The sequence below is a fragment of the Homo sapiens genome, chromosome 17 (assembly GCF_000001405.40).
Source record: "Homo sapiens chromosome 17, GRCh38.p14 Primary Assembly".
NCBI lineage: Eukaryota > Metazoa > Chordata > Mammalia > Primates > Hominidae > Homo > Homo sapiens.
In genome coordinates this window covers 36,589,904-36,602,859 of record NC_000017.11, presented here as the reverse complement: position 1 = coordinate 36,602,859, position 12,956 = coordinate 36,589,904, and the positions used below count along the sequence as shown (strand labels likewise).

At 54.2% G+C, this 12,956-nt stretch overlaps 2 protein-coding genes and 1 long non-coding RNA gene across 11 annotated transcripts in view; all 3 read right to left on the bottom strand.

Annotated features, from left to right (window-relative positions):
• The window catches only part of MRM1 (mitochondrial rRNA methyltransferase 1), a 33,116-nt gene extending 31,839 nt beyond the window's left edge, over positions 1-1,277 (bottom strand). For all 6 annotated transcript variants that reach the window (XR_934554.2, XR_007065467.1, XM_011525275.3 and 3 more), the window contains exons 1-2: positions 508-1,277; positions 214-307 (exon numbers count right to left, since the gene is read on the bottom strand). Coding sequence is in view for 4 of the 6 variants with exons in the window: in XM_011525275.3 (XP_011523577.1) it covers positions 214-307; positions 508-1,049 (636 nt within the window). In the remaining 2 variants the exon portion in view is untranslated. The remainder of the gene's footprint in view (positions 1-213; positions 308-507) is intronic.
• Positions 1,278-2,055: 778 nt separating this feature from the next.
• Positions 2,056-10,981, bottom strand: DHRS11 (dehydrogenase/reductase 11). 4 transcript variants are annotated; one of them, NM_024308.4, is made up of 7 exons: positions 10,704-10,981; positions 7,680-7,889; positions 4,603-4,697; positions 3,810-3,939; positions 3,097-3,189; positions 2,823-2,888; positions 2,056-2,698 (listed from the first exon to the last, which is right to left on the bottom strand). In NM_024308.4, exons 1-7 carry the CDS (start codon positions 10,848-10,850, stop codon positions 2,657-2,659), a joined length of 783 nt encoding a protein of 260 aa, NP_077284.2. In that variant the 5' UTR covers positions 10,851-10,981; the 3' UTR covers positions 2,056-2,656. The 4 variants fall into 4 exon arrangements, with proteins under 4 accessions (NP_077284.2, XP_005257715.1, XP_011523535.1 ...); XM_005257658.4 differs by lacking the exon at positions 3,097-3,189; XM_011525233.3 differs by lacking the exon at positions 7,680-7,889.
• Positions 5,846-7,673, bottom strand: LOC107985031 (uncharacterized). The gene is made up of 2 exons (XR_001752869.2): positions 6,827-7,673; positions 5,846-6,029 (listed from the first exon to the last, which is right to left on the bottom strand). It is a non-coding gene; the product is annotated as an uncharacterized LOC107985031 (long non-coding RNA).
• Positions 10,982-12,956: the final 1,975 nt, after the last annotated feature.

Sequence of the window (12,956 nt, the reverse complement as noted above, 5' to 3'; positions counted from 1 at the left end):
GCAGGAAAGGGTATAACGCTAGGAAGAATTCAGCTAATGCTCCATTTGCCGTTTTAAAAACTCCAGGACCCTTCCATCCCCAGAGGGATTTAGAAGGCCAAAGGAAGCGGTGCCAACATGCCCCTTTCTCTCCCTCGCCAGGGGCTAGCTTCGTCCCCTTGAAGAGGCTGAGCTGGGCTCACATCTGTTCCTTCCCCTCTTGCCCCTCATTACCTGTAAAAATCCGGTGAGGTCATCAGTGGAGAACACGTCCATCACCTCCATAGCCCCCGCGCTGGACTTGCTGACTACTGGAGTGAGCGGGCAGCTGCAAGGTTTCCCCGTTCCCCGCATTAGGCTGGGCCATCTCAAGCCCGGCTCCCTACCCTCCCAGGGCTCCCAAGGGCTAGGGGGATGAGAGTTCTGGGACAGGTAAGTCTGGCTAAGGGATCACCCAAGGGCCAAGGTGCTTAGGAACTCGGCTGCGTCTCCAAGTTGGGGCACATAGAGAATGAGGGACGTCCGTGCCTGTTTCTCCGGCTGGTGATGACCTTATCCACTCCGAGGAAGTGTGCGGAACGCAGCACAGCCCCAAAATTCCGGGGATCCTGGATCCCATCGAGGACGAGCCACAACTGCTGGGGGTCGTCGCCTGGGCTCGCCTCCCCGGCCTCTCTCCAAGGCCGGGGCCGCAGCGGGCTCACCTCCATGCAGACACCCTGGTGGACCTGGTAGCGGCACATTGTGTCCAGTTTCTGCCGTCTGGGCCGCAGAACTGGAATGTCCCGCGCCTCGGCCATCCGGAGCAGCTCGGCCCGCTTCCCCTGCAGCCCAGCTTTACCCGCCTGGAGCAGGAGCCGGGCCACAGAGCGGCGGGCGGCCTGCAGAGCCAGGAGACACGGGGTCATGCCAAACAGAAGCTCCAGCCGAGAGGTCGGCACCAGGTCATCCAGCAGCAAGCGGCTTAGCTCCTCCCCACCAGGCCGCTCCCCATGCCGCGCTGCATGGGAGAAATGACGGGTGACGAGGCGACCCCAGGTCGCGCCCCGGACGGTCGAGAGCAATGCCATGGCGCAGCTCCCGCCAGGGACTCGATGCCCCTTGCTGCGTCCCCGGGAGCGGTAACCCGCGCCGCAGTTCGCTCCCAGGCTCCCAACACCGAGGTGAAGGGTACTCGACAGCCGTCTCCGCCGAGCTCTCTCGGACAGGAACAAACAGCCCCGATTACCCACAACTGGACTACCGAGCTACGACCACCCGCTCCCAGGCTCCCACGTGGGTCCCTCGCTTCCGGGTTCGGGAGCCCGCCCCTCCCCGGCCCCTTCCTGACGGTGTTTTGCGCATGCGTGGCTGCCAGGCTGTCCCCCACAGCGCCTCCCTCAAGGCTAGAGGAGCGGCGAGCTGAGCTGGCCGTACTACCGGCTGCGTCCTGTGTTCCTCGAGGTCCCAGGAGGCCGGGGACCGCATTCACCCACGCACCAGTGAAGGGCCCTTTAAGGAGATGGGTTGGCCTTCCTGGTCAACCAATTCAGTCTTGTTGCCTCCCTCCCCACATCCCGGCGCTGGTGATTTTTCCCAGAACTTCTCACTAGCCCATCACCAGCCAGCAGGACCCCAACAGTCACTTCCTATCCCGGGCCGCTGATTCTCTTCCTAAGTGACTCTGAGCCTGTCGTGTTCCTGCTGACAAGCTCACTAACGCCCCCGTCCCACAGGTAATGGCGAGACTCTTGCGCAGCACTCAGCCCCCCAGCGATCCAGGAAGGCAGGAAGGAGCTGCCTCTTCAGCCCCATCTGGCTCCTTGCTCCTGTGCTTAAGTTCTGAGCTGTTCGCACAGCACTGCATGCTCTTCCAGACCTCTCAGCCTTGCACACCTGTCTTCGCTTTGTCAAACTCCTACATGTTTTCAAGGCCCAAACAAACCCATTCCTGCTACCTAAGGTAATCCATACTCCCATGAGTGAGGCCCCCAATCCACCCACCTGGGACCTACCTGGAAGAAATTCTGAGACACAAGCACCCCTGATCACAGAGAAGGGGAAAGAATGGAAAGACACTCCTGAAGCCAAGGCAGATTGGTTGCGATTTTTCTTTTTTAATGATCACCATGAAATCCACTGGGCCAGGCCCTGGTGTTCTGCTGCCATAGTCAGAGTCAGAGTGGAGGGATGACCCCAGGAGGGGACAAGAAGCCAAGACTGGGCTGGGGAGCCGAGAAGGAGATAGATAAGGGGGAGAGGGTGCAGTGGGGCAGGCAGAGGAGGAAGTCTGGAGCCCTGGATAACAACACAGATATAAGGTGAAGGCCTCCCTCTGCCACCCCAGCCCTGAGCCACAGACGTTGAGGTGCAAGAAGATGGGGATTTTGGCCACAACTCCTTTCCCATGTCAAAGGGAAGACACTGAGAGCAGACAAAGGCCAAGTGCCCAGGGGCACAAGAACAAGTTAACAAGTAAAACAATTAGGGACACCACCTCCTTTCCCCAGCCCATTTTTCACATTTACAACTGAAGCAATTTGACAAGATGATATAAAAATCTCAAACAAATTTTCTAGCCCCTGGTCGGGGTGTGGACAGGAAGTGGTATCCCGTGATCCAGAAATCAACACCTAAAATCCAGAGGCAGGAGGCAAGCCATGAAGGGTGGGGAGGGAAGGAGGAGCTCCCACAGTCACTAGGTCACCTGCTCCGTGGGCCTCATCTGGATGTCTCCAATCTGTGGAAGGTACAAGGCATGAGGCAGCTGTGACACTCTCCCCTGGCCCTGCAGGGCTCCCTGCTCCCCTCCTCTGGGGCTGGTTGGGTTCCTCCAGTGAGTAGACAGTCAGGGCCAGACTCACCTGGATGTGTGCGGGGGTGCTGAGGACGTAGATAACAGCCTCGGCCACATCCTCGGGTTTGAGACACTGAGAGCACCAGGGGAATGGGTTGAGACAAGGACAGAATGGACTCAAATTCCCTCCCACCACTGAGCTTCTCTGTGGCATCCACACATCCACCCCAACCCTCCAGGAGGAGCCACAAAGGCTGGAAGAGTGGAGTCTGAAGGCCGAGCTTCCCTCTGCCTTCATTTAGGGAGTCAGTGGCTTCACCAGGCTCAGAGGGAGGCCCCACCTTCATTTGCTCATAGGTGGCAGCTGCCTTCTCAGGGTCCTTGTCGTGGAGTTTGAAGGCGAATTGTGTCTCCACCACACCTGGAGAGATGCACTGGGCCAACAGAGAGGGCCTTCTCAGGGGCTGAGCTTTGCCAGGTCTTGGGGAGGTCGAGGGGAGAGGATGGAGGCCACAGAACCCCAGCTTCACAGTGATGGCTGCCTGATATCCGGCAGCGGCCTCCTCCCTCCGAAGCTGCCACTGGCAGTGACCACAATGATACCTACCATCTACAGAGCCTTTCCTATATGTCAGGTAAACGTTTTACAAAAAAGTGTCCCTGAAAAGCTCATCATCTCCTTTTCACAAGTGAGAAGGCCGAGGCTTAGGGAGGTTCAGTGACTCGCTCACGATCATGCGGCCTTCAAGAGAAGAGCCCAGAGTCCCGGTTTCCAGCCACTGTGCACCTGGTTTCCCACAGTCCCTTGCTTTCCCTCAGGTCAGCCCCCTCCCAGCTCAAAGTCTAAGTCTGGTCGTTGGCTCCTGGATCAGTGAAATGAGGAAATGAAGGGCTGCATAGGGCCATGCCTGGAGCAGCAGCACCCAGTTCTGTGCCCAGTCCACTCCCAGGAGCTCTGAGCGGCACATTCTGAACATGGGCTTCCTGAACGGTGTGTGTGGGTGGGGAGGGCCTGCGCCACCCTGTGCCCACCAGGGCTAGGCCACAGCCTCACCGTGGCTCGGATGTGGGTCTGGGCCTCCCGAAGCTCTTGCCTCAGTCCCTCTGTCAGCGCAGTGACGGCATACTTGGTGGCACTATAGAAGTGGGTCACAGACAGGGGTAACACTCGGTGGCCAGACATGCTGGGTGGGGAGAGGAAGGGGAAAGAGGAGAGAATGAAGTTCCAGGGAGACCAGTGGTGCTCCTGCCGTACCCGGTCAGCCCCACCACCCAGATGCCCATCGGGAAGACTTCTAAAGGGGACCTCTACTGGCCATCCTACAGCTCACTAATCTAATTTTGGTTATTCAAACAGCTTTGGAAAACCCTCCTTTTCCTGGAACTCATCCCTAAGCTGACGACAGAATGCACTCTCCTGGTGGTGCAGAATGTCAGAATTCTCTCCATCTAATCTGTATGTTCACTGATACGGTTCTATTGGGACATCTCAAGGCAGGCAGAGGCCATGTCCCCCCTCAGACTGGGGCTCCCCAGTGGCAGACACTGTACATAGTACTCTTTGTGCCATGAGGTGGGGTTCATCCCCAGGCCTGAGGAATCGAGGCACTTAGTCCCAGGAGAGGCCCCAGGCTTCAGCTGTAGAGGGAAGGGGCTAAGCTGCCCATTCCAGCCAACCAGGGGCTGGTACTTGACAACATTATTCTTTCCCTCACCATAATTGTGCCATTCAGGTATTAAATCTGTATTTTCCCACCAAGGAAACTGAGGTCCAAAGAGGTCAGGTGAGCTGCAGCACATTACCCAGCCTGGTGGGTGAGTGGTACCCATTGGCCACCTGCCCTCACCTATTGATGTTAATGATGTGCCCATCGTCCACATTCCGCTCCTTCATGGACTGGTAGGCTTCCCGTGTGCAGATGCTGAGGGCCAGCACGTTCACCTGCAGGCCAGGGAGGGCAATGAGGTGTCTCCACTCCGGCCCAACTGAGCAAGTGATGGAGCCACAGAATGCTAGGGGGGAAGGGGGCAGTGTGGCATTCCAAAACAGTGTCCAGGTCCCCCCGGAGACCAGCCACAGGCACAGAGCATCTTGTCTTCTACACGAGATGCCCCTCTCCCTAAAGCCGCAACCCCCAGTTGATAACAGAGGTAGCTCCTCACCTGGCTGACCCCCCAAGTTCCTGCAAACAAGAATGGAAACCCTTCAAACCCACTCCTGACCCAGGAGACTCTGTCTTGGCCATCTCCTCTATGAACAGTAGCACAGACCCTCTAATTCCATAGGGAATCATTTCCATTTCTTCCCCCAAATACCCTACTCTTCTCTTCTCTGTGACAGTCTCTGGCCCTGCTCCCTCCTAAACTGCTCAAAATCCTTACCAAAATGGCTTACAAATCTCTCTCCTCCGGCACACAGCCTAGCCTCTCCCTACCTTCCTCAGCTACTCTCTGCTCCTTCCCCATCCCCTCCCTTGAGATGAGTGGAGAAGAGAAGGCCTGACCCTCCTTTCTATGCCTTCCTTTAACGTGGGTTCCATCTACAAGACTAGGCACGGAGACTCTAGAGGGTCAGGTAACTTGCCACTCCTACTCCCTCTGGCAGAGGTGACCCCCACATCCCCACCCTTCAGGGAACAGAGGTCTGAAGGCGTGTCTGCTGTAAAGCGCCTACACTGCCCCACCCGTTGGCCCCACTCATTAGCCTCACCCGGAGGACAAGCAGAGATAAAGCTTTCAGCAGGTCCTCAGGCCTCTCCTCTTAAGAAGAGAGGGAACCAGCAGGAGATTAGATGTTTCTCTTAATCAGGTGGCAGAGCCTGCCATGAGGAACAGAACACCTTTGGTGTGAACCTGTCTTGGTGTTCATGGCAGTAGGAAGAGATGGGTGCCAGGACAGGGAGGTTTCCAGCCGTGTTTCTCATCTTCTTGGCAATGTGGGCTTGTGAGGCAGAGAACTCAGCCCCTGGCAGGTAGAGTGGGAGAAATAGATCCCCTGGGACCAGGTGAGTAAATCTCCCAGGTCTAGGGTATCAGGGGCAGGGAAAGAGAAGATGCCTCATAGGATGATCCTAATAGACTCAGATAATGTTCAAGCTGAAAGGAGCTGTAGGAATTTAATGTAAGTCCCTCATTTTACAGATGGGCGAGTTGAGGTCCAGGTTTAGAGACCCATGTGCTGTGGGTGAGGACCATGGCTCTGATCTCCAAGAAGGCTGAGGGCTTCATTTTCATGGCTTCATTTCCAGGCCCAAGCATCTGTGAGGTGCTAAGTCTACTGTCAGCAGATGGGAAAGGATTGTGGGGAGAAAAGAACACCCCATTCACACACTGCTTTCAACTTCTCAGGATACTTTTATACCCTACTATCACCCCATCATACCATCCAGAAGTTGAAAACCCATGTCCTGAAAGTTGGGTTTGGCCTGTGCACAGTTTCAAAACATTTTAAAAACCCTTCCAACATGTACTGGAAAGTTTCATTTATTCAATAACTATCTTTTCAGTGCTTATGGGATCAAGCCATACCAGAGAATAAAACAGATAAAATACTTGCCCTCATGGAGCTGTCATTTTAGTGAATGGGAGTGGGGGGGTGTCACATAAAATCAGACTCCCCACTTCTCTCAAAGAAATCATAAGATCAGCTGGGCGTGGTGGCTCACACCTGTAATCCCAGCACTCTGGGAGACCAAGGCAGGCGGATCACGAGGTTAGGCGATACAGACCATCCTGGCCAACATGATGAAACCCCATCTCTACTAAATACAAAAAAAATTAGCTGGGCATGGTGGTGCCCGCCTGTAGTCCCAGCTACTCAGGAGGCTGAGGCAGGAGAATAGCTTGAACCCAGAAGGCGGAGGTTGCAGTGAGCCAAGATCACGCCACTGCACTCCAGCCTGGTAACTACAGAGCAAGACTTCGCCTCAAAAAAAAAAAAAATTTCATCAAATCAGGCCACACTGGGCCCACACCACCATAGAGCAACTATGCAGGATTTGAGCAGTGGCTGTGTGCTTCCTCACACACCACAGACCCCTCCTAACCTCCCTCACTCCTTTATGTACCTACCTGGCCCCAGGGGACATTGGAGCTGTGACCCCAGATATTGATGATAGAGGTGTGTTCATCCCAATTAATTGTGACAAGACTGAAGCTCAAGGAAGGTAACCAACCTGCCTAAAGTCACATAGTTACTAGTGAGGCTAGGTAAGAATATCATCACTTGTCTCTCTCTTCCTTTTCTTCCCATAACATCACGTTCCCAAGCACCCAGGCACAGGACTGACAAGTGGGAAACATTCAACAGGCAGCAGTTCTCTCCCCTAACAATCTTTCTTCTAACACAAGGAAATCACTCTAGACTTTAAGAACTACCTTCAGGTCGGGCGTGGTGGCTCATGCCTGTAATCCCAGCACGTTGGGAGGCCAACATGGGCAGATCACCTGAGATCAGGAGTTTGAGACCAGCCTGGCCAACAAGGTGAAACCCTGTCTCTACTAAAAATACAAAAAAATTAGATGGGCATTGATGATGGGTGCCTGTAATTCCAGCTACTCAGGAGGCTCAAGCAGGAGAATCGTTTGAACCTGGGAAGCGGAAGTTGCAGTGAGCAGAGATCATGCCACTGCACTCCAGCCTGGGTGACAAAGCAAGACTCTATCTCAAAAAAAAAAAAAAAAAAAAAAAAAAAGAACTACCTCCAGGGGCTCAAAGAAGAGAAGAGCTGATATGGCCATTCATCCACTCTCTATCCCTCTGGTAGGGCAAGAAGCCAAGAGAGAGTCAAGATGCCCCAGGTGGGAACCCGAAGCTCCCTCTTCCTAGATGTCCCGTCCCCAGCAGCACTCTGGTTCACAAACCCCTGGCTCCCCTCTCTCCTCCCCACCCTCCACCTGGAAGATGGAGGCTTGGAGCTCTTACATTGAACATGTCCTTCCAACCACTGGTGCTGCCTGAGAGCAGGGTGTCAGGCCGGGCCAAGCCAGCATTGTTGATGCAGATGTCTACACCGCTGTGCTGAGAACGGATAGCTGAGAACATGGAGAGGATGTCCTCTTCATTTGATAGGTCACATCTGTAGGGGATCAAAGTCCCGGGGTAGCCTGCACTCTTACATTCAGCAGCCAGCTCCTATGAAACCCAACAGGGGTCTGACTGGGGTGAGCAGCTCACTCCCACGGCTCCCTAGCCAGCCTCAGACCCCGACCCCCGTCACACTCATAAAACATGCTCCTTTGGCAGCTGACTTTCAGCCACGAAGATGTTGGACTGCCCATCCCCTAAGTCTGTCCTCTTTGGTCAAAGTCTAAGGGATGACAGTGCTCCCCGAGTGATGAAGGGAAAAGGCTGTTATCAATGGAGAAACCTCACTATAAACTCAAGTCCTGGCTGGGCGTGGTGGCTCATGCCTGTAATCCCAACACTTTGGAAGGCCAAGGCGGGTGGACCAGTTGAGGTCAGGAGTTTGAGACCAGCCTTGGCTAACTTGGTGGAACCCTATCTCTACTGAAAATACAAAAATTAGCTGGGTGTGGTGGCTACTTGGGAGGCTGAGGCACAAGAATCACTTGAACCCAGGAGGCGGAGGTTGCAGGAGCTGAGATCACGCCACTGCACTCCAGCCTGGGTGACAGAGCAAGACTGTGTCTCAAATAAATAAATAAATAAATAAATAAACTCAAGTCCTGGGTGGAACAGGGGCCAGGGACCTAGAGAATGGAGTGCTCTCTCTTTTCTGCCTCTTCCTCAACAGGAACACCTCTTCTGCCCATAGGTAATATGCGCCTCTCCACCACTTCATGCTTCTACACCAGTCCCGAGAGTCACTGGGCTGGTTAACCCAGCTTCTTCTGCATTGTGTCAGCCAGTCCCTCATCTCTGAACTATTCCCCTCCCCTCGCAAACTGCAGCCAACTGGCTCAGAGTTCTCAGACATGCCTTTCAACCAAGCCCAGCTGCCAATCTTCTCTCCCTACCTAAAGGAGGGGTCAGAAAGTCAGGACAGATTCTTTCTCTCTGAGCCCTGGTGCACCACCCTCCCCTCTGAGGTTTCTCAGGAGACTATGAGGCAATTCAGGTGGCAGGTGCCATTGAACACCCCCTGTGCATCTCCAGGCCCTCAGCATGCCAAGAAAGACCTGAGAAGGCAGAGCCACTGAGAGGCAGCCCAGGGGGAAGCTGACATTCAGAGGCAAGAAGAAAATACGTTCTGTGGCCTTCTTTGGAAGCCAGTGACTGGGCACTTGAGCCTTGTGATGGTGACTGTGTAGACGTGGGCGAGGGGGAAGGGGCGTGCGGTGCCCTAGAGGAAGGCCAGCTTGGCCAGCTGCCCTGGCCTGGAGCCCCTTCCTCCTCCCAAGCTGAGCCAGGAATAAAGGACAGGATCGGGTGTCTTGGGACATTCTTTTCTGCTTTGACTTTCTGTGAGTTCAAAAGGTATAGTCCTCTGAGAATCAGAAACCCCCCTTCACCAGATTTTACCCACATTTGATCACTTCAGGAAACAGGAGTTTTCTCTGTAGGAAGCTAGAACCCAAATTCTGCTTTAACATCAATGACTGAATCAATCAAAGCAGACTGTGGGCAAGGAAGACTGCAGCTTTCCCCTCCCCTGGTGTACATCTTCCCGCTTCCTCCTCTAGACTCAAAATTCCTGCCACAAGAAAACCAGAAGGGATGAGCTCAGAATGTATTTCTCCCTGTCACTGCCTTCCTGTTGCCCCACCTGTGCCACCTGATCTCCCTACCTCCCCTCAGTAATGATCTACAACATCATGTCACCCCCTCACAACAGGGGCATTCTCCTCTCAGACATGGAGTCACCCTGGGACTGAGTGATCAGCCTGGGGATCCCCTTGGGGCTCAGGCCCCCCCTTCCTGGCTAGCTTGCGGTAGGGGAGTAGGTGAGAAGGCAAGAGTGGCTTCAGAATTACAGAATCCAGTTGTTTAATCCCTGGCCTGATCCTCTGGGCTCCAAGGCTGGGGCTGGGTCCTGAGCTCCTCAGAATAGGATAAAGGGAGGAAAGAGTGGGGCAGTGATGGAGCCAGGTGACCTTGGGATTATCTGGGTTATAAAGCATACCTTTGGTCAGCAGCAGGGGAGGGGACAGTCCTCCTTCCTGTATACCTTCTCCCTCTGCCCCCACCCAAGGCCTCCTTACCCTTTCCCTGCCTGAGGACTTTGAGCACGGTGGAGATAAAGCCCTGCAGCTAAGCACTAGCCCGACACTGAGAATGAGCTTACAGGGCACATCCAGAGAGAGCCTAGCACAGAAATTCCTCCCTGCTCCAAAATGGCCATCTTGATTTTTCTCTGAGCTCTGAGGGCTCCCAACCCCACGTCAAGAGCAGAGTAAGGAGTTCCAGGTTGCTTTATCCTCTCAAGGTTTCCGCCCGATTTCACCCACTCTGTTCGCCCCAGGAGAGTGGAGGAGGGCCCACTAATGAATATTCCATTCATTCCTCATGCCACTGGGCATGAGTTACCCCCGAGGTGAGGGGGCGGGGCTGAGGCTCTTCAGTAAAGCTCCCACCCCAACCCCAACCTCAGTCCTGGCTCCTGCCCATCTGGTTGGCCAGCCACCTTGCCCTGCGTGGTGGGTGACTTCTGGAGATTAGAGGCACTTGGCCGCCGGGGGCGAGAAGGCCACAGGGGCGAGACCACCACCCCCGACCTCCGGCTTCCCCTTCCTCGGGCCAATACCCTGGGGAGACCCGAGGGGCGGGTGGGGAGATGCCGGGGTCGGAGATTCGGTAACTCGAGCAGGGGCTGTCAGGGCAAACGGCTCCTTCAAAGATGAGACTTAAGGGGAAGGGAGAAGCCTGCCTTAAGGGATCCGAGAGGCCGCCCCGACTAGAGCAAAGGGCCCCGGCGTGGCGGGCAGGTGAACCCGACTCCGGGGAAACGACCCGCCCGCGACGTCCCCGCCCTCGGCCCGGCCTCACCTCGATGTTGCCCACAGTGCGGGCGCAGCCCACCACCTTCAGTCCCTGCTGGACCAGGGCCCGGGCCACGGCCGCGCCGATGCCCCCCGAGGCCCCCGTCACCAGCGCCAGCCGGTCGCGCCACCGCTCCATGCCGGGCCTGGCCATGGGCCCACGCCGCCCGTCCGCCTCGCTGGACTAGCCCGACACGGGGGTCGAGGAGCTGACGCCCGGCCGCTCTCCTGCCGCCGCCGCCGACCTGCTTGGGTCCGATCCGCGCCTAGACCCACCAGAGTCCCGGCCTGCCTCCGGCCGGGACTCCACCCTCAGGCCCCCGGCGATCCGCCGTATCCAGTCGGAGGCCGCCGCGGCCCGGCCGCCCCGCCCCTTCCGCCCCTCTGCCCCGCCCCGGCGTAGGGAAACCGGGCTGCGCGGGAGCGTCCTGGCAGCTGGCGGCGCCGCTTCCCCAGTGAGCGCTGCCCTTTGGGGTCAGGGAAACCGAGGTTTAGCGGGGAGGTTCCTTCAGCCCCAAGGGCGCATACTGAAGCGTCCCGCTTAGTCTCCCTTCTCTACTCCTGAACCCTAATGCCAGGATGAGGAATTAAGGGCACTTAAGGTGACTCCAACACTCTTCCACACCCTCCCAAACCCGCCGGTGGCTGATGGGAAGGGATTCGGCCCAGAAAACGCCGAGTGTCTCCGCCATCAATGCTAGGTGACCTTGGGAAGGACTCATTCACCCTACCTGATCCCTTGGCTTTACTAGCCACGGAGAACTGAAATACTCCTAAGTACACGTGTACTGGGGTATTCTGTCCCTAAATGGCCCACTGTGTCTAACTGCCCTAGACCCCCACGCTTACCCCTACCCCACTGTAGCAAATGTATCATGATATATGCCAAAGATTAAAACAGTATCTAACATTTGCTGCTTATGGTGTAGCAGGCATTTTAAATATAGTAACTAATCTACACAACCGCGCTGAGATGGCACATATTAGTATCTTAATTTTAAAGATGAGTATACTGACGTGGTGAAGCATGGTTTGGACCACAGGCAGTCCAGTCTTACGCCAGGGATGTGCTCCTCAACTGTCTTCACATCATTATCGCTTCTCGGGTTGCTGGTTTTGTTCAGAGTAGAGCTCGCTTTACTAAAAGTGCTGAAAACTGCGTACTTAATATAGCCATTCTCTTAAAGAAAAAGCATCTTTGAATAACCACCTGACTCCCTTCCAGCAAGCAATGGAGTAAGCGGTGAATGTGGCTGGTTTATTCATTCAAAAACACTCATTTGCCTATCCTGTGTTTGGCCCCAATGGCAAAGATTAAAACTAAACTAAATCAGCCTTTCCTTTTAGGGATCTCAAAAGAACATTTGACTCTTAACAGTGGTGAAGAGGGGATTCACCTCTGAGCCAAGGGCTGTGGGAGACCCACAGTCATTTTTTAGATTCTGGGATGAAATCAAAAAGGGTCCAAGAGGAGTCCTTTTACCTCTGCCCCATTCCTATACAACATTTAGATTTGAAAGACAACTCAGGAGGTGGATCCAAGAAATGGCACTATGAAAATTCAATCTAAGTTTCTGCTGCTGCCCACTTGAAATCTAACTCAAAATCTGATTAAAAGCACATAAAATTCACTCCACCTCCATTGCACAGAAGTACTGATTGTCCCATGATTTTATGCTGCCACCAAGTATTATAAACATGTAGACACAAATCTCTAAGCATCATGTGTCTACGGAGCTATTTGACTGGATCTTTTAAATGGCAGCAAAATGCTACTCCTGGGGGGAACTCTCTCCTTTAGTACTCACAGCTGTGACAGGAGTAAACTGTAAGACCACAGTGACTTTGTTACTGGATACCAGATAAGGCTGAACCTCACATGCATTTAAACAGCCCACAATGTGGTTAGCTCTCAGTGCAGCCTTCTGAGCCCAGTCTTACATGTTGAGCAATTACTTATCGGGCAACCCTTGGTTGAAATTCTGCCAAGTTTTGTTTTTATTCTTCTAGGTCAATATGAACCTCTGAATTTAAGAAGTACTTTGTATTATGTATTAGGGAACCTTTAATAATAGCAATTAAAGTCTCATGGGAAAGTAAGATGGTAGCAAGTATTTAAAGTATCTCCTCAAAAGAAAAAGACTGGAAAACTGCTTTTCTCAGTTGTCAATTCTCATCAAAGGAAGATTTTTGTCTTCAACAATCTGTATCTCTGTCCTTCATCCTTTCTAACATCAACACTGGCCAAGCATCAAGTCCA

Excerpts from the sequence above, each read along its gene's own strand:
- DHRS11 (NM_024308.4), bottom strand. The coding sequence starts at position 10,850 with ATGGCCAGGCCCGGCATGGAGCGGTGGCGCGACCGGCTGGCGCTGGTG. Across the intron at positions 3,940-4,602 it reads CACATCATTAACATCAATAG|CATGTCTGGCCACCGAGTGT; the intron begins GTGAGGGCAGGT and ends CTCCCCACCCAG. Across the intron at positions 2,699-2,822 it reads GCACCCCCGCACACATCCAG|ATTGGAGACATCCAGATGAG; the intron begins GTGAGTCTGGCC and ends TACCTTCCACAG.